Genomic DNA, 20,661 nt, shown 5'->3' on the forward strand with positions numbered 1-20,661 from the left:
AAAAGGGGAGAGAACACTTCCCAATTCATCTTATAAAGCCAGGATTACTCTGACACCAAAGCTATATCACAAAACAATATATAACAGTATCTTTCTTTTTTTTTTTTTCAGATGGAGTCTCACTCTGTCGCCAAAGCTGGAATGCAGTGGCCCAATCTCGGCTCACTGCAACCTGTTTCCTGGGTTCAAGTGATTCTCCTGCCTCAGCCTCCCAAGTAGCTGGGATTACAGGTGTCTGCCACCACGTCCGGCTAATTTTTGTATTTTTAGTAGAGATGGGGTTTCATGTTGGCCAGACTGGTCTTGAACTCCTGACCTCAGGTGATCTGCCAATCTCTGCCTTCCAAAGTGCGATATAAGTGTGAGCCTTATATCACGGTGAGCCACTGTGCCTGGCCCATTGTTTAAATAAAATTAAAAATCTTCAACAAAATACTGGACAAACTGAATCCAGCAACATATAAAATAGATTATACACTATATGCAGATGTGATTTACCCCAGCAATGCAACATTGATTTAATATTTGAAAATCAATGCATACAAAAATCGTATTAATAGAATAAAACACAAAAATACATGAGCATCTCAACAGAAAGTATTTGAGAAAATATTACACATTTTCATCATAAAACACTCCAGAGTTATGGACAAGAAGATAACTTCCTGAAACTAGTGGTAGTTATCTATGAAACCCACAGCTATCATTATACTTACCAAGGAGAGAGTGAATGACTAATCAGAATGACCACTCTTGCAAATTCTCCCTTTTTCACCTTCCTGCTCTCATCACCCTCTTTTGCTCCTCCATCTTCCCAAAAACATTTTCCCCCATCTTTTCCCAAAGCCTTCTCCCCTCTCCTGCTGCTCACCACCATTTTATCCCCCTCCACCTACCCCAAAACTTTTTTCTCACACCCCCACCATCTTTTCACAATGCCTTCTCCCCACTCCTGCTTACCAACCTCTTTTCCCCACTCCTGCCCCTCTCCCATATGCCACTCTTTTTTCACCCTCCATCTACCCCAAAACTATTTGTCTTCCCAACCCTCCTTCCCCTCATGCTCGCCACCATCTTTTCCCCCTCCATCTACCCAAAAACTTTTCTCCCCACTGTCTTTTTGCAAATCCTTCCCTCCCTCCCGCTTGCCCATTTTCCCCACCTTTACCAACCTCTCTTTACTCCTCCCACTTGCCACCCTCTTTTCCCCCTCCATCTGCCCAAAAACTTTTTACCCACCATCTTTTCCCCACCCTGTTTTCACAAAACCTTTTCTCCCTCCTGCTCAGCCCCCCGTTTTTCCCTCTCCTATTTGCCAACCTCATTTCCCCCTCCATCTACCCAAAAACGTTTTTTTTTCCCACCGTCTTTTTCCTATTGCCTTTTTGCAATGCCTTCTCCTGCTTGCCATCCTCTTTTCCCGTTGGTACTCACCACCCTGTTTTCCTCCTCCATCTACCCCAAAACTATTTTCCCCCTCTTACCACTCCGGTCGCACTGCAGTCGCCATCTCGGCCACCACCCACAGTGAGGCGAGCCGCGGTGCCGCAGGCTGCAGCCTCCAGCATTTGGCAGGTGTCTTCCTTCCCCTTCTCCTCTGCCTTTAAGTTGGGCACAGAAGAGCTGTGTAGGCAAACAGGAAAGAACCCGGGATGGTCTGACTCCCCCACCTCAGCATACTTTATATGCGGAGTTATGCAAATGAGTTCTGGGACTACATGTTCTGATTGGATGAGAGAAAAACCTCTAGGCATACTCAGATTTGGACTTTGTTATCATGTTCTGACTGGATGAGAGCAAGTCTTAAAACGACCAATCAGAACATGATAATAAAGTCCAATCAGAGTAGGCCTAGAGGTTTTTCTCTCATCCAATCAGAACATGCAGTTCAGGAATTCATTTGCATACCCTCCCTGTATAAAGCATGTTGAGTGGGCAGAGTCAGGGTCTTCCGTATATTCTCCCCGTACCGTCCGTGCTCGGCTTAGTGCAGGAAGAGGAGAAGAACGGGAAGACAACCGCGGCACAGCAGCTTACCTGCTGATGTTGGCTGTGGTGATGGAGCCTGCTACCGGAGCCACAGTGGCCCACAGCGGGAGCATGGCCAGAGTGGTAGAAAGACAGTGGGGCAGGTATGCTATCAGAGCTGCGCTGCCCGCGGTGAGGGCAGATTGGGGGCGCTATCTGGGGTTGCATTGCCTAGGTGGGTTCTGTGCAGTATCGGGGACTACGTTACTTGCGGAGGTGGAACAGGGGAAGGGGGTGGGGTGGGGGGTACACTATTGAGGATGGGATTAGGTGTGCTATCGGGGGCCGTGCTGATCATCAAGGCGGCTTAGGTGTGCTATCGGGGCAGGGGACACGCTGCTCCGAGTTGGGGGATGTTACAGGGGCTACACTGCCTGTGGCTGGCAGGGGTTAGGGGCACTATCTGGGGCTGCACAGCCGGTAGTGGGTGGCGTGTTAGGGACGCTATAAGCTACTGTGTTGTCTGTGCCCCAGGGAGGGTTGGGTGTGGGGTTGGGTGTGCTATCGGAGGCTACAGTGCTAGCAGACAGGTTAGGGGCACTGTTGGGTGTTGCACCGCTTGTGCCAAGGGGTATGTTTGGTGTGCTATTTGGGGCTACAAGGGGCAGGTTGGGAGCACTGTCGGGTGCTGCACTGCCCATGGCAAGGGGTGGGTTGGGTGCACTATCAGGGGCTACACTGCCCAGGGCGGGGCGGGTGGGGGGGGCGTGCTATCCTGGGCTTCACTGCCCATGGCGGGGGGCTGGCTGGGGACGCTGTCATAGGTTGCATTGGGGTGGTAGGGGGCGGGTTCGGTGTGGTATTGGGGGCTGCATTGCCAGCAGTGTGGGGGGGGGGGTGGTTGGGGGCACTGTCAGGAGCTTGCGCTGTCAAGCTAGTAGCAGGTTAGGTGTGCTATTGGGGGCTGCACTGCCCGAGGTAGGGGGGCGGATTAGGTGCGCTATTGGGGGCTAAACTGCCCACAGCTGGCGGGGTTTGGGGGCTCTGTTGGGGGGTTGCAGTGTCAGAGGCGGGTTAGGGGCATTATCAGCTGCTGCACTACCCGTGGCAGGAATCAGGTTGGGGGCACTATCGGGTGCTGCAATGCCTGTGGTGGGGACGGGTTGTGGGCATTATCGGGTGCTACACTGCTGGCGGTGGAGTGGTTGGGGGTGCTATCGGGGTCACACTGTCAGCGGCGGGGGACAGGTTAGGGGTGCTATCGGATGCTACACTGTGGTGGAGGGCAGGGGGTGGGGTGTTGAGAGCGCTATTTGAGGACTACATTGCTGGCAGCGGGGGGCGGATTAGGGGCACTCTCAGGGCTGCACTGCCGGCAGCAGGCAGCAGAGGTGGCAGTGACAGCAGTGGTCTCCACGGAAAGGACAGTCCTTCCCTCCCTGGACTCCAGGCTTTACAAAGCGATTTTCTCCTGCTTAAGTACAGAGGACATACAGTGTTTCCGCAGGAATACTGAGCACGGCAGGGCCCCCCACATCTGCTGTGGTTCCCTGGGTTACACCCTCTCGCTCTGTGTTGTGGATACTGCCTGGGACCCCCAGGCACCGAGTAACGTGCACCACGTGGGGGACGGTGCTCTCTGGGTGGAGGCTCAGGAATGAGAGCCCGCACTTGGGTGGGGAGAGCTGGCTGGGTCTGACTTTTTGCTGCTTCCGTTCCCCTAGGACCGCAGCTCTGGTGGGCCCAGTGGTTCCTGCGGAGTGGGGAGCCGGGCACTGTGGTGTCTCCAGTCCCCACCACAGGCTCCGATTCATGGCCAGCTTGGGCCGAAAGGGGAGGGTGGGTGTCAGTGCCTTCGCTGAAACTGGCACCTGCCACCCAGTGGCCAGCATGACCAAGGTGAGGCTTTAATGCTACCACTCCCTGCATCTGTTCTAGGTTTTTCTGGCTTTGCCTGCCCAGCAGTCTGTGCCCACCTAGAGGAGTAGGAGGGGCCACCATGCCGCATGCTGGAGGCTGGAGCCCGCAGCCTGCAGATGGCACAGTACTACAGCTCGCCTTGCTGCGGTTGGTGGCAGTGATGGAGACTGCAGCTCGACCCCAGCGATGGAGGCTGGAGGTAGGAGGGTACCTGGTGGTGGCCACGTGGTAGGAGCCTTGTAGGGTGGGGCTGGTGCATTGAGAGCAACAGCAGCAGTGGTTGTATTGGCATGGGCATTAGTGGTGGCAGCAGCAGCAAGTCTGTGAGCCGGGAAGGGGGTAGTAGGAGCCCTGCAAGGCCCAGCTGGCCTGGGGTGGGTAAGAAGCAGTGGGTGCTGCAGCGTGGGCCTCGGTGGCAGCAGTGGAAGTGCAGCCAGGGCAAGGAGTCCTCCCCCACCTTTCTGCAGTCTCTGGAGGGCGCCCACCTCCTGCTGGCTCCTGAGCCAGGCATGAGTGGCAGCATTGTCTCATTCTTAACAAAATTTAGGGAATGACTATTTGTGTATCTTTTTGCTTGTTTTTTGTTGTGTTAATCTTGGACTTTTCGAATTTCATGAATCAGGGAGTGGATAAAAGGTATCATAATAGGCCTTCTAACTCTATCACCTGATTTTTTTCCTTTCTTCCAGTCTGTTTTTTCTTATCACCATCATCTTGTTCTTTATTTTCTTATGCTGCTGCCTATATTTCTGGTTTCTATTCTTGTTTCTCTTTCTGGTCCTCCTGCTTTTTGTTTTCTTTATCCCAAGCAATGGCCTTAACAAACTGAAACTGAGTTAAAAGTAAACTACTTGCTAGTGTGTTGTATTTTTAAAGTAATTGGTCCATTACTGTGTTTTAGAGATGAGAAAGTAGTTGCATAATGATTTAGTTACTTGAATAGCTTTGCTTTCGTGATCCTGTTAATGCGTTGTAAGTAGTTATGCAAGGAATCAAAAAATGAAGCATCAAATAAAATACTGATAGCAAACAGTCATTTCATCTCTCTCCCATATAGTCTGGAGATAAATGCAAGTCAGGGGGTTAATAAGTTCCAAAAATTTATGAGATCGTTAAGTGAACCACATTCCCTTCATTTTATTTTTCTGCCACAGTTTTCAAGAGCATTGTCATTTGCATGAGCAAACCTTGTTCACCACATCTTTGCAACAGGGAAGGGAAGGGGAGGATCATATGTACAATGTTTTAAGGCAAAAAAATTCACAACCAAAAGCAAGGCTTTATTAACTTTCACCTTCGAGAAGCTGCAGTGTTGAGCCCTGTTTTATTCCTAGTATTACTGCCTTTGATACGAACTCTTAAGTGATCACTTTAGAAGTTAATGCATTTTATTGACTGCTTTCAAGAAACAGTCTATATTGTATCATGCATGTTTTTCAAGCCCGCAGAATTGTATAAGGCCTATATATACATAGGGCCTATAATTTTGACACTTTTTAATGATTTATAAGGTTACGATCATGTAAAATCCTGTTGACACGTGAGAATATGCCTAAGTACCGCTAGATAGCTTATTTTGAAGAGATAGTTATTTTGAAGAGATAGAAATTGGTTGCAGTTTGTTAGGTGTATTTGTCAATGCATTGCCTCAATGCTTTAAAGCATATAGAAGTTTGAATATGCTTTAATCTCATGTAGTCCTTTGTTTATAGGGTGTTTAATATTTTTAAAGACTAAAGATGTCACAGCCCCCTTTAAGGTTCAGTAATATTAAGATTGGAGATTTATAGGGTTAGAATCCAACAAATTCAGAGGAAAATTGTTAAATTATATAGCTGTAGAGCAGGAAATGAAACCCAGGTTCTAAGCTCTAAGGGGACCATGAGCTGCCATACCAAGTGCATCAGTGACTGGGCATAGAGTTGGCAGAATTACAGGATGGTTAAGAGAGTGAGCTGTAGAGCCTCACTCTATGTGAACATGAATTTTATATAAGTATGTATGTATTTATTTATTTTGAGATGGAGTCTCACTCTGTCGCCCAGGCTGGAGTGCAGTGGTGTGATCTTGGCTCACTGCAACCTCTGTCTCCCAGATTCAAGCAATTCTCCTACCTCAGCGTCCCCAGTAGCTGGGATTACAGGTGCACACCACCATGTCTGGCTAATTTTTGTGTTTTTAGTAGAGTTGGGGTTTCACCATGTTGGCCAGGCTGTTCTCGAATTCCTGACCTCGTGATCCACCCACTTCAGCCTCCCAAAGTGCTGGGATTACAGGCAGCCACTATGCCCGGCTGTGAACATGAATTTTTAAACTGCATGGTGCTTTGGGTCCCAGCTTCTCCATCTGTACAATGGGGACAGTACTAAGGTTTTCTTTTTCTTCTCAGTTGACTGAATTATTTCCATAGTCTGTCTGTCTTGCCACTCTTGTTACCCACACGAAAGGACCTAAGGTAATTTCTGACAGCCTGGGACTCCTTGTGCAAAACAGAAGGTGCCACAGACCTCATTTTAGGAGAAACCTTTGTTTTCCTCTTGGAACCCCAAGAACTGTAAGCAGACAGGTCCATCTCAAAATCCAAGGCTCTGCTCTGTTTTGCTTTGCTTTACCTGACTTTTTTTTTGATTTGGGTGGGCATCAAAAATTAGTAGGGGAGAGCTAAAGAAAGTTGTGGATATGAACATGTATTTATGGTAAGGTAAGTTATGAAGGAGAGAAATCTTAGGATCTTGTATGGCAAATTCTTGCACTAAAGTAGATAATGACTAATTAGGAAAGCAGGAAATATAGGACAAGTCAGAAAGTCATAAGATGGGAGAGAAAAGCTTACGCCTGGTAGATCCTCTCCTGTCTAGAAGTGTCGTATGTGTGATGTTTATATGAAGGAGCTCTAATTAATTGGATTAAAAGATAATGAAAGCTCTAAAATTGTCAGAAAAATAGAAGCTCTAATGCCTTTTATTTCACGTGACTTCAGCAATCTTTGGGAAATGAGAGTTTTAAAATTATTGGTGGTAAAAAGTCTTCAAAAAGTAGACATTTGGTCTAAATTAAGTCAGAGGTTAAATTGGCTAAGTGCTTTAATGTCATAAACTGCTTCTTTGACTTTGGAAAATTGTTCAGTTTACCTAATTTGGAACTGTTAGATTTCTAGGTAAGGCCTGGGGAGAGGTGGAGTTAGCCATGTCTCCTAGCTATGCTGGAAGAGTTAGACTTTATCTGCAGTTCTGTCATGTATCCTGGACTCTGCACCTGGTATGTAATTGAAACTGCTTACATTGAAAAGAAAAATTATGTGTTTTTGGTTTTAAAAGGGGTGGGAATATGGTTTTTTCCAAAAAGTGAGTTTTGGCAAATTTAGAAAGTTTAAGAATTATTTTTAGTTGTAAGAAAATAAAGTTTAAGCAAGTTATAGAAGGTTTATGAAAATTAACTTTGTAAAGAATTGTGTGTGTGAGCAAGTTGACTAAAGGGACAGTAATGTTAGATGTAATAAATGCAGGTACCCTTCCACTTTATCTTCTGTTTCTTAGGTTATAAATATTCACTACCTACGTTTCTAAAAACTCTTTCACTGTAATATTAACACATAACTCCATTCTCCTTGTATTGCCTGCTTTTTCATAGTATCCTGAAATTGCATTAGTAGATTTAGATTCAGAAGATGGTGGGGAAGCATCTTATGAGTGTTTTAAGTAAATTTAAGGCAAAGGGTTTTCTGTACATGGGTGGTTATCACAGCATCACTTGTTGCAGCAAAACACTGGGTAACAACAATGTTTATCAATGAGAAATTGTTCGGATAAATGATGATTTGTGCCTTGCGAGGCTCAACTATTCAAAAGCACCCTCTTTTCCTCACTTGCTTTACCTTTGGTTCTGGGCCTGGAGCCTTTCAGAGGTTACTCAGGACAGTGGACTCCTGTTTCCTGTGACTAATCTGGACAGCGGCTTCCTATTTCATTCTTCAGCATCTTCCAAAAATTTCTGAAGATAATTTCTTCCTTTGTGACCACCCATACTCTTGGTTTACTTTGCAGTTAACAATTTCATGCCTTCACTGGATTATCTGTGTGAAGGTGTGGGGTGTATGTGTTCATACTCTGGAGGGAGCAGAGGAAAATAGCCACAGCCAAAGGAGTAATCTTGCACTAAATACTCATTATAAGAATGTTGATACGTTCATAGATGGTAAATCTGTCAGTAATTTTTACTTGTATGATTCTTGGTTAAGACTGCACTCACTGGTGATAAGCGTGCTGAAGGGATCATAGGTGCTATACTTATGTGTGGGAATTGCATTCAAACCACCAATGCCTGTCTACTCAAGTTTTGTTGCCTTTTGATTAAAAACTCTTGGGAATGTTTCCCTGGCATGCAAATATGGGAACTGCAGTTTGATTCTAGGTAGAAACTCTTTGGTAGTTGAAATGCCATAATAAGAGACACAGCTGTCAATGGGCAACAATTCACTGTTGGTAAGGAATTTACAGTGCTACTTGCCATATTCTTCTTTATCCAGACTTTGTGCCAAGAAAATGAAATTCTTTTTAAAAATTTTTTTCTAGAGTAATCCTACAATATTGCTGTTATCAAGCCTGATGCTGTAATTAGTAGAAAATGTCTAGAAATTAAAAGAAAAGTAGTATTTTCCAACTATGGTTAAATTAATTGCAAAATAACTTCCTCTTAATTGTCAGATTGGAGACAAGCTTATTAAGAGTGAAATAAAACATAATGTGTTGCTGGTGCTAGGTACCTCTAAAGCCTTTGAGCACTTTCTTCTTTATAAAGGCTCAATCTACTCATGTGTCCTGTAAATAATCCTGCTCTACCAGCATCCTATGTAAATTTTAAAAATTATAGTTCATATATTAGATTGTAACAAATGTTGTTCTTCTTTAATTATATGCAATGCAATCTTGTTATAGACTCACATTAGCTTGCCTTATTCCCTGTATGTTTGCTGTAAAATGTATAGTCCTTTTCAATATATGATAGCTTAAAGATGGACTTAATATTTTGTTTTAGAACCAAAATCTTTTATCTTATATACAGGAAAATTACATTGGAATTCAGAGATCAGCAAACATTTCCTGTAAAGGATGAAATAGTAACTATTTTCAGGTTTGCTCAGCATGTGGTCTCTGACAACTAAACTCTGAAGTCATACCAAGGCAGCATCAGTAATGTTTAAATGAGTGAATGGCGCTGTGTTCCAATAAACTTTATTTACAGAAACAAGTGGTGGGCCACATTTTGACTGCAGGGTATAGTTTGTGGACCCCTGAACAATGGCTTTTTCTGAAACAACACAATTGAATTGAGATTTGAAAGAATGTTGAGGCAGCATTGTTTGTCTGGGGTAATACCTGAGGTTTGTCATCTCACACCAGGGAAATCAGGGATGTGGACACACAAGAAGTGAGTTCAAGAGTGGATGATTAATAGGTGAAAGAAAGAGAAAAGAGAACAGCTCTCTCTCCTGCAGAAAGAGAGAGGGGCACCTGAGTGGGTCTTCCGGTTTTGTGGTGAAAAGCACAAGGTTTTATAAAGGAGCTTGAGGAGGTGGTGTCTTGATTTACACAGGGCTCTAGAGACTGGTTGGACCAGGTGTGAACGTTTGCATAGCACAGGGAGAAGCTGGCCATTGCACCCTAATCTTTTATTATGCAGATGGGTTCTTTACCTTACCAGGACCATATTGTCTGTTCCTTACTGTACCTGTGGTTGACAGAGAAAAGGGAAGATGGAGCCACCATGTTGAACATGCCTGGCCCACAGGTAGCCTTTTCCTATTGGCACAGCTGCTGGCATTCCTATGAGAGCTTATCAATGTCTGCAGCCCAATTTTACAAGATGCTCTTTGTTAGAAAATAAATGATATGGGTTTTTTTTTTCATTAGTAGGAAAACTTTACACTAGGACTTCCTTACTTTCAGTATCTGCCTAAATAATTTCTTTTTAATTCCTACATCAATGTTGCATGTGCAATAGAGAAGGTGACATGTAGGGAGCTGTGTCAGCAGGGGTTGCATATTTCTTGATGAGCATCCCATGATGCATTCTTCTTCACTTGTGGCAACATTAGCATTAACTAATCTACAGTAAAGTAGATGGGTCCACAGGTCATGGGACATACACTAGCTCTGCCAATTACATGTTGATTTAAATAATATCATTCTCTAAGGACAGCTTTTTTTCCCCCAGATCCTGGTATGTATGTGGAGTTGGGGAGAGACACCAAACTGTACCCCATTTCCTCATACATTGCTTATACTTTTAGAAGTGTTTGAAAGATAATATCACATACTAGTAGTTTACTGTTTCTTATTCAAGTTAGTTTTAATAGTCGCTAGGGTGAATGTTTTCAAAATTGTATAGATATTCGGGTTGAGGCAATACTATAAATTATGAGTTCATCTCAGTTTTTTTGTGCTAGCGTAATGACATTTCGGAGACATAATGCATATGTGCAAAATACTTCACCTCTCTGGAAAACAGTAAAGGGCTACATAATAGGACAGACAAAAATAAAGGCTTGGCGTAATGGCTCACACCTATGATCCCAGCACTTTGGGAGGACAAGGCGGGTGGATTGCTTGAGCTCAACAGTTCAAGACCAGCATGGGCAACATGGCGAAACCCATGTTTACAAAAACGATAAAAATAAGCCGGGCGTGGTGGCATGTGTTTGCAGTCTGAGATACTTGGGGGACTGAGGCAGGAGAATCGCTTGAGCCTGGGAGGTCAAGGGTATAGTGAGCCGAGATCGTGCCACTGCACTCCATCCAGCCTGGATAACAGAGTGAGACCCTGTCTCAAAATAAGTAAAAATTTATAAAACAAAGAATGTTTCTAACTGTAATAAAGGAGAAGTGATCAAGCTTAAGTGTAGCTTAGATTTAATCTTTGATTTCCGGGTACTATATTACTTAAAAATATGATTTGGATATTTAGAAGTTGTTCAAATTAGAAACTCAGGAGTGGGGTCACTGGTCACTAAGGTGCTGAATATTTTTAATACCTTAGTGGATATGTAATCAACAAAGCCAACGGAACCAATAGAGCATTTGCTTTCATAAGAATTTAAGTGTTGCTGGGTACTCTTAAATCGAGCTCACATTATTGGTGTCATTTAATATAATTACTGAATTTCTTTGAACCCAGTTTCCACTTTTTAAAAATTATTTAGCTCATTAGGCTGAAAACTTCTCTTTGTTACATTTTATTACACTTCAGTGTAATATGTGTAAGATGTACATTGCTTCTCTCTAGAAAGGTGAGACAAGTTGAAGCAGGGTTGGGGGTGGGTGCTTCCAGTTCATAGGTAAATAGGAGACAAACGGTTGCATTCTTTTGAGTTTCTGATTATCCTTTCACTGAATACACAATTTACATGCAAGATGCCATAGAGGAATAGTCACTTATGCCTGAGTCTGGCTTAGTGAATCTGCATTTTTACATAAAAAACTGGGCAGAGAAAGCCAATCAGATACACATTTGTCTCAGGTGAGGAGAGGGATGACTTTGGGTTCTGTCCTTTGTCCCCCACCTGTAAAGATAATCTATCAATTGCCAATTTATATTGCCAGGGTCAAATTCAACAGAACTGTTTTAGTGTAAAGATCTTGAGGCCCACAAGAAATTTCCTTTCTGACAAATTATGAGGGAGGTATATAGCTTTCGAAATCTTTGTAGTTATTTTTTTATTTTATTATTTGGGTTTTTTTTTTCTTTATTGACAAATAATTGTATATACTCACAGGGACATAGTGATGTTTCAATACAGAAAAGTTATAGTGAGCAGAGCAGGATAATTTCATATCCTTTGTTAAAGGAAAATAAATCTCCGGGACACCCCACTAAGCCAAATAATAGTTATCTTATTTAGAAATAAAATGGGAGGCAGGTTTGTTTGATGGAGTTCCTAGCTGAGGTGGGAGAATTGCTTGAACCTGGGAGGCCGAGGTTGCAGTGAGCCGAGATCGCGCCATTGCACTCCAGCCTGGGCAACAAGAGCGAAACTCTGTCTCAAACAAACAAAGACTATAGAAAAGCTATTTGTGAAAATGCTTTTTGATGTGCTGTTTTATGTCACAGAATGCAACCTGTGTTTTGATTCAGCAAGTTCAAAACACTCTTTTTGTGGAATCTAAGAATTGATTATTTTGATCCTATTGAGCTTTCATAAGAAAATATGAATATCCAGTTGTAAAAACTAGAAATAAGCTATAAGCTATCTGTGGAATGCTTTGTGAGGTGCTGTTTTATATCATAAAATTGAACTTGTGTTTTGATTGAACAAGTTGAAATTACTCATTTTGTAGAATCTAAGAAGTAACGTTTTGGAACTTCTTGAGCCCTTATTAAAAAATAGAAATATTCAGTCCTAAAAACTAGAAACAAGCCATCCGTGCAAATGCATTGTGATGTTCTGTTTTGTATCATAAAGTTGAACCTGTGTGTTGATTAAACAGGTTCTGAACACTTTTTTTTGTAGAATTTATGAAGTGGCATTTCTGAGCCTATTGAGCCCTTATACAAACATACAGTTTTAAAAGCTAGAAACAAGCTATCTGTCAAAATGCTTTGGGATGTGCTATTTTATGTCACGGAATGAAACCTGTGTTTTAATTCAATAGGTTCAACACATTCTTTTGGTAGAATCTGAGAAGTGACATTCCCAAACCTCTGAGGCCTTTAAAAGAAAATACGAATATTTTCCTCTAAAAACTAGAAACAAGCAATGCGTGGAAACGCTTTCTGATCTGTTAGTGTCACAGATTGGAAACTTTGTTTTGATTGAGCAAGTTCAACGCACTCTTTGTAGGATCTAAGTAGTGACATTTCCAAACCTATTGAGCCCTTATAAGAAAATATGAATATTTAGTCCTAACATGCTATCTGTGAAAATGCTTTTTTTTTTTTTTTTTGGCACAGAGTCTTGCTGTGTTGCCAAGCTGGAGTGCAGTGGTGTGATCTCGGCTCACTGCAACTTCTGCCTCCTGGGTTCAAGCAAGTCTCCTACGTTAGCCTCCCTAGCAGCTGGGACTACAGGCGTGCACCACCACGCCCAGCTAATTTTTGTATTTTTAGTAGAGATGTGGTTTCACCATGTTGGCCAGGATGGTCTTGATCTGTTGACCTCGTGATCCGCCTGCCTCAGCCTCCCAAAGTGCTGGGATTACAGACGTGAGCCACCATGCCTGACTGAAAATACTTTTTGCTATGCTGTTTCATAACACAGAATTAAACCTGTGTTTTTGTGAGACAGGTTCCAAACACTCTTTTTGTAGAATCTAAAAAAGTGATGTATCCAAACCTTTTGAGCCATAATAAGAAAACATGAATATTTAGCCCTAACTGCTGGAAACAAGCTATCTGTCAACACACTTTGTGATGTGATGCTTTATATCACAGAAATGAACTTATGTTTTGATGAAACAGATTCAAAACACTATTGTAGAATCTTAAGAAGTGACATTTCTGAGCCTATTGTGACCTTATAGGAACATACAAACATCCAGTCCTAAAGTCTACAAACAAGCTATCTTGGAAAACACTTTTTGACGTGCAGTTTTATAACACAGAATTGAACCTGCATTTTGATAAAAACACGTTCCCAACTCTCTTTTTGTAGAATCTAAGAAGTGACATTTCGAATCTATTGAGCATTTACAGTAACGTATGAATATCTTGTAATAAAAACTAGAAACAAGCTATCTGTAAAAACACTTTGTGATGTGCTATTTTATGTCACAGAATGGAACCTGTGTTTTGTTTCAGCAAGTTCTGAACTCTTTGTAGAATCTAAGAAGTGACGTTTTTGACCTTATTGAGCCCTTATAAGAAAATACAAATATCCAGCTATAAAAACTAGAAACAAGCTATCAGCGAAAACACTTTTTGCTGTTTCATATCACAAAATTGAACCTGTATACTGATTAAACAGTTTCCAAACACTTTTTTTGTAGACTCTTAAGAAGTGATGTTTCTAAGGCAGTGAGGCCTTATGGGAACATATACATAATCCAGTCCTAAAAACTAGAAACAAGCTATCTGTGATAACCATTTGTGATATGCTGTTTTATGTCAGAGAATGGTACCTGTGTTTTGATTCAACAACTGTGAGACACTCTTTTTGTATAATCTAAGAAGTGATGTCACCAAACCTATTGAGTTTTATAAAAAATATGAATAACCCTAAAAACGAGAAACAAGCTATCTGTCGAAAATGCTTTGTGATGTATTTTTTTATATCAAATAATGGAACCAGAGTTTTGATGAAACAGCTTCCAAACACTCTTTCTGTAGAATCTAAGAAGTGACATTTCCAAGTCAATTGAGTTCTTACAAAAAAAATGCAAAATCCAGTCCCAAAAAACTAGAAACAAGCTACCTGTAAAAATGCTTTGGGACATGCAGTTTTATGTCACAGAACGGTTCCTGTGTTGATTCAACAAGTTCAAAACACTCTTGATGTAGAATCTAAGAAGTGCTGTTTCCAAACCTATTGAACTTTTATTAAAAAAGTAAAAATATCCATCCCCAAAAACTAGAAACAAGTTATCTCTGAAGATGCTTTGTGACGTGATGTTTTATGTCACAAAATGGAAACTACGTTTTGATTTAGCAAGTTCTAAACACTTTTTCTAGAATATAAAAAGTGACATTTCTGAGCTTATTGAGCTCTTAGACGAACATACAAGTATCCACTCCTAAAAATGAGAAGAAAAACCTATCTCTGAAAATGCAATGTTATGTGCTATTTTACATCACAGAATGAATTTTCAAACACTCTTTCTGTAGAATCTAAGAAGTGAAATTTCCAAACCTGTTAAGCCCTTATAGGAACATATGGATATTCAGTCTTAAAAACTAGAAACAAGCTATATGTGAAAATGCATTGTGAAGTGCTGTTTTATGTCACAGACTGGTCCCTGTGTTTTGATTCACCAAAGTTGAAACACTCTTTTGGTAGAATGTAAGAAGTGATGTTTCCAAACCTATTGAGCTTCTATAAGAAAATATGAATATCCAGCCCTAAAAACTAGAAATAAGATATCTGTGAAAACACTTTGTGATGTGCTGTTTTATGTCACAGAATGGAACCTGTGTTTTGAGTTGACAAGTTCCAAACACTCTTTTTGTAGAATCTAACAAAGTGACATTTCCAATCTTACTGAGCCCTTATAGGAAGATGTGAATATCCAGTCCTAAAAATGAGAAAAAAAGCTATGAAATTGCATTGTGACATGTTGCTTTATGTCACAAAATGGAATCTTTGTTTTTATTCAACACTTTCAAAACTTTTTGTAGAATGTAAGAAGTGACATTTTCAAACCTATTGAGCCCTTATAAGAAAATGCAAATATTTAGTCATAAATATTAGAAGCTCTCTGTGAAAATGCTTTGTGATGTGCTGTTTTATATCACAGAATTGAACCTGCATTTTGATGAAACAGCTTCCACTCACTTTTTTATACAATCTAAAAGGTGACATTTCCTAGCCTCTTGAGCCCTTATTGGAGCATATGGATATCCTGTCTTAAGAACTAGAAACAAGCTAGCTGAGAACATGCTTTATGACATGCTGTTTTATGTAACAGAATGGAACCTGTGTTTTTAGTCAACAAGTTCCAGACACTCTTTTTGTAGAATCTTAGGAAGTGACATTTTCTATTTTTATTGAGCCCTTATAATAAAATATTAATATTTAGTCCTAAATATTAGGAAAAAACCTACCTGTGAAAACGCTTTGTGATGTGGTTTCATATCACAGAATTGAACCTGTGTTTTGACAAAGCAACTTTCAAACACTGTAGAATCTAAGAAGTGACATTACTGAGCCTATTGAGCTTTTATAGGAACATACAAATATCCAGTTCCAAAAACTAGAAACAAGCTCTTGGTGAAAACGCTTTGTGACATGCTGTTTTATGTCATAAAAATGGAACCTGCCTTTTGATGAAACAGCTTCCAAACAGGTTTTTTTTTAGAATCTAATAGTTGACATTTCTGGCCCTATTGAGCCCTTATAGAAACATATGAATATCCAGTTCTAAAAACTAGAAGCAAGCCATCTGTGAAAATGCTTTGTGATGTGCTGCTTTTTGTCACGGAATAATACATATGTTTTGATTCAACAAGTTCAAGACACTCTGTAGAATCTAAAAAGTGAAGTTTTTGAACCTATTGAGACTTGATTAAAAAATACGAATATTCAGCCCTAAAAGCTAGAAGCAAGCAATCTGTGAAAACACTTTGTGGTATGCTGTTGTATGTTATGGAATGGAACCTGCATTTTGATGAAACAGCTTCCAAAACACTTTTTTGTAGAATCTAAGAAGTGACATTTTGGAGCCTATTGAACCCTTACAGGAAAATACGAATATCCAATCCTAAAAACTACAAACAAGCTATCTGGTAAAACGCTTTCTGATATGCTGTTTTATGTCTCAGAATGGTACTGGGGTTTCAATTCAGCAAGTTTGAAACTTTCTTTTTATGGAATCTAAAAAGTGACATTTGAGAACCTATTGAGCCGTTATAAAAAATTCAAATATTAGCCATAAAAATTAGAAACAAGCTAGCTGTGAAAACGCTTTGTGGTGTGCTGTTTTATGTCAAAGAATAATACCTGTGTTTTGATTTGGCAAGTTCAAAGCACTTTTTTTTCTAGAACCTACGTAGTGACATTTACAAATCTGTTGATCTTTTATAAGAAAATATGAATATCCAGCCACAAAAACTAGGAAAAATCTGTGAAAATACTTTGTTATTTGCATTTTATGTCACAGAATGAAACCTGTGTTTTGATGAAACAACTTCCAAACCCTCTTTTTGTAAAATCTAACAGTGACACTTATGAGCCTATGGAGCCCTTATAGAAGCACTCAAATACCCAGTTTTAAAACTGGAAACTGTCTCAAAAACACTTTGTGAGGTGCTTTTTTATGTCACAGAATGAAACGTGTGTTTTGAGTTGAACAACACACAAGTTTCCAACACTCTTGAATCTAAGAAGTGACATTTTCAAACTTGAGCCCTTATAGAAACATACAAATATCCAGTCCTAAAAACAAGCAAAGGCTATCTGTGAAAATGCTTTGTGATATGCTGCTTTGTGTCATGGAATGGAATCTGTGTTTTGATTCAAGTTTGAAACACTCTGTAGAATCTAACAAGTGATGTTTTGAACCTATTGAGTCATTATAAGAAAATGCAAATATTTAGCCATAAAAATGAGAAACAAGCTTTTTGTGAAAATCCTTTGTGATGTGTTTTCTATCACAGAATTGAACCTTTGTTTTGTTGAAATAGTTTCTAAACATACTTATTGCAGAATCTATGAAGTTATATTTCTGAGCATTTGAGCCCTTATAGGTACACATGAATATCAGATTCTAAAAACTAGAAAGGAGCTATCTTTGAAAACTATTTGTGATGTGCTGTTTTATGTCACAAAATGATAACCATGTTTTGATTCAAAAAGTTTGAAACACTCTGTAGAATCTAAGAAGTGACATTTCTGAGCCTATTGAGCCCTTAGTAAAAAAACAAACAAAAAACGAATATCCACTCCTAAAAACCAGAAAAAAGCTATCTGGTAAAATGCTTTGTGTTGTGCTGTTTCATGTGACAGAATGGTGCCTGTGTTTTGATTAAACAAGTTTGAAACACTTTTTTTTTGTAGAATATAAGTAGTGATGTTTTAGAATGAATTGAGCCCTTATAAGAAAATGCAAATATTTAACCATAAAAATAAGAAACAAACAACCTGTGAAATCACTTTGTGATATCCTTTTTTTATGTCACAGAATGGTACCTGTGTTTTGATTTAACAAATTTGAAACACACTTTTTGTAGAATCTGAGATGTGACATTTACAAACCAATCTTAAGCCAGTTAGATACTCTGATGAGCCAGCTGTGTGTGTATGTGTGTATGTGTGTGTGATCTTTGATTATTAAAACTGAAAAAATAATCGTATATTCATGACTAGTAGACACAGTGTTTTAAAACTGATTCTGAAAGATTTGAGGGTTAGGCTTGTTTTAAAAACAATTGCATAGGTCCTGGAAACACCAAGAATTAGTGGCTTCTCATTCCTAGTCACATGAAAAATATTTTACTACTCTTGTGAATGGCCATAAATAATATGCAGAATTTTTTCTGTGTCCTAACCTTTTATATAATTGGTTCTACAGTGTACATCACTGTGTGCAACTTTGTTTTGTGTGCTCAGACTTACATTTTCCAGTTTTCTCCACTTTGATACAATTGGTCTGTGTTTCATACATTTTGTATTTTCTATAGCGTTCCTTTATATGACTCTACCACATTTTATTGAGTCTCCTCATGCTGACAGGTAAGTAGATGAATTAATAAATGAATGAATAAATAAAAATGAGAGCAAATTTCAAACAGGTGATTAATTTAGTGATTGTAACCATGGACTCAGCAGGTTAGAAATAAAAACTGAAAGATTTAGAATGCAAGCAGGCACATCATACCTTCTAATAGCCATTGGAACTATGACCCACAAACCATTAGCCTAGAATGATGGGACATATCTTGTCTCTAAAAAAAGGTCACTGTTCAGTTCTCAAAGAATGGATATAAAAATGGCAGATACCATTCCACATTATTCTACTTCCTTTAACCTCTACGCATAAAACTTGAGCTGCAGGGAATGTTACCTCCTGTTCTTAAAAAGACTTGTAGTTCAGTGAGGAACTCACTCCTTTCTTCATTCATGTGTTCAAATAATATAGGGAAATGAATGGAAAAGTGAAGAGAAGTTGAAGACTATTATGGGGATAGCACAGGATTAGTCAGCCTCATGGTATTATTGATCTGCCTTATTCCACAAATATTTACCAAGCACCTGCTACATGCAATTTGTATACTAGGTGCTGGGGATACAGGAGATAACAAAGTCCCTGCTGTCAATGAAAGGGGTCAGTCCTTTGATTCATCTTTAGTTAATTTTAAGCACACAACAACTATCTCAAACTTTCTTCACACTTTCCAAGCTCCCGATCCTTCATGCACTCTTGGTAGATGCCTGACCTTACCTCTTACCTTACTAGAACCTAAGACCACCTGGTATAAAATCCCTTAAGCACACTCAGATTTGCGTGATTTTACAATGATGTCTGTTCCCAAAGCATCCTCACTTCTCTTGGAGCTGAGGGTGAAGAGCTCCTCTTTCTTCCCATCCGTGATCTTGGAACATGTACGACTACACTTGTGACAGTAAATGCTTAATACAGGCAGAAGGTTTGTTCCTTATTTCCTCCCTGGGGCCTCCCTCCAGTGAATATCTCTTCTAGCATTGTCAGTTGTATCCAACAGAAAAGCAGAGATCTCTCCATTGGTCCAAAAACCTAAGATGGACTCTCACTGCTAAACTTCTCAAATGAAAATTCCTCCACTTTAGTCCTGATTACCACTCAAACACTGTTAGACTGGGCAGGTCACTACCCCTGCCTAGTTCTGTTTCCCCATCTACATAACAGAGAAATAATTGCGCCTTATCTATCCTACAGAAGTGTGAAGAGGTTTGATGTGACAGCAGTGAAAGCAATTTAAAAAGCACAGAGTGCTATACATAAGAAGACATTTTCATAATTATTCCGCTCTAACATGATATCTGTATTCATACGATCTCAAAGTACTTACCCAAGCATGGATTCTAACTCTTGTGTATGTAAGCAAAGGTGTAAGTCTGTCACCCTCCATGCAAATAGAATCTCCCCTCCCTTGGCCCCTGCATCTCACCATATACAGGAATTAACTCAAGATGAATCAAAGTTTTAAATGCAAGACCGCAAACTATGAAAATCCTTTAAGATAACCTAGGCCATACCCTTCTTGACAAAGGCTTTGGCAAAGCATGTGTATGTCTAAGTCCCTAAAAGCAATAGAAATAAAAACAATTATTGACAAGTGAGACCTAATACATGAAAGAGTGGCTGCACAGTAGAAGATATTACCAACAGAGTAAACAGACAGCCTTCACAATGGAAGCAAATGTTCCCAAACTACATCTGACAAAGGTCTAATATGTACGATCTACCTTAAGTCCTTAAATCAGATCAAAAAGTCCAATTAATGGTTAGAGACATGAATACACACTGCTGAAAAGATGTAACAGCCACCAGTAAACATGAAAACATGCTCAACCTCGTTAATAGAGAAATGCAAATCAAAAGCACACTGGTCAAAATGGTGATTATAACACAGTCCACAAGAACAGATACCAGCAGGACAGAGGAGGGCACTGGGGCAATTGATCATGATTCTTATGGATAGTCATTTAGTGTTATTAATGAATTTCATAACAAAATGATCACCATACAAAAAATACAAAATGTGTTTTCTTCCCTGAGAAAGGAAAATAAAAACTTGGAATGCCGATTCACTATGCCAAAAGGAAAAGTTAAGCTGAAAGCTGAGTCATGCAAGAAACTGCCTTTCTTTTTTTTTCCTGAGCAGACAGCTACTGATAAATAGTTAAATTTCTCCACAGGTAGCTACTCTATGTTCATCTCATCTTACTTAAAGTGCTGATTTACTGAGCAGGAGAAAAATATATAACTGACTATTCCTTTACCTGTTTGTTTTCTCTTGCAACATGTGGATTCAGCAACGTGACCATACTCTCCCTCTTTTCCCCGCAGCCTGCTTTTCTCTTCTAAACACTGAAACCCTAAAATATTTTTGGAGAAAGGCACAGACCTCTGTCGCCCAGCCATGTCT

General features: G+C 40.1%; 1 gene, besides 1 other annotated feature; it reads left to right on the forward strand.

Annotated features, from left to right (window-relative positions):
• The window catches only part of IGL (immunoglobulin lambda locus), an 896,838-nt gene that overhangs the window by 95,975 nt on the left and 780,202 nt on the right, over window positions 1-20,661 (forward strand).
• Window positions 5,909-6,424: a silencer, noted in NCBI's record as "fragment chr22:22482353-22482868 (GRCh37/hg19 assembly coordinates)". NCBI's record gives its function as "represses an EF-1alpha promoter that drives an FKBP-Casp9 reporter gene in an ReSE screen in HepG2 liver carcinoma cells {active_cell/tissue: HepG2}" and the evidence as "EXISTENCE:reporter gene assay evidence [ECO:0000049][PMID:32094911]".

The sequence above is a fragment of the Homo sapiens genome, chromosome 22 (assembly GCF_000001405.40).
Source record: "Homo sapiens chromosome 22, GRCh38.p14 Primary Assembly".
NCBI lineage: Eukaryota > Metazoa > Chordata > Mammalia > Primates > Hominidae > Homo > Homo sapiens.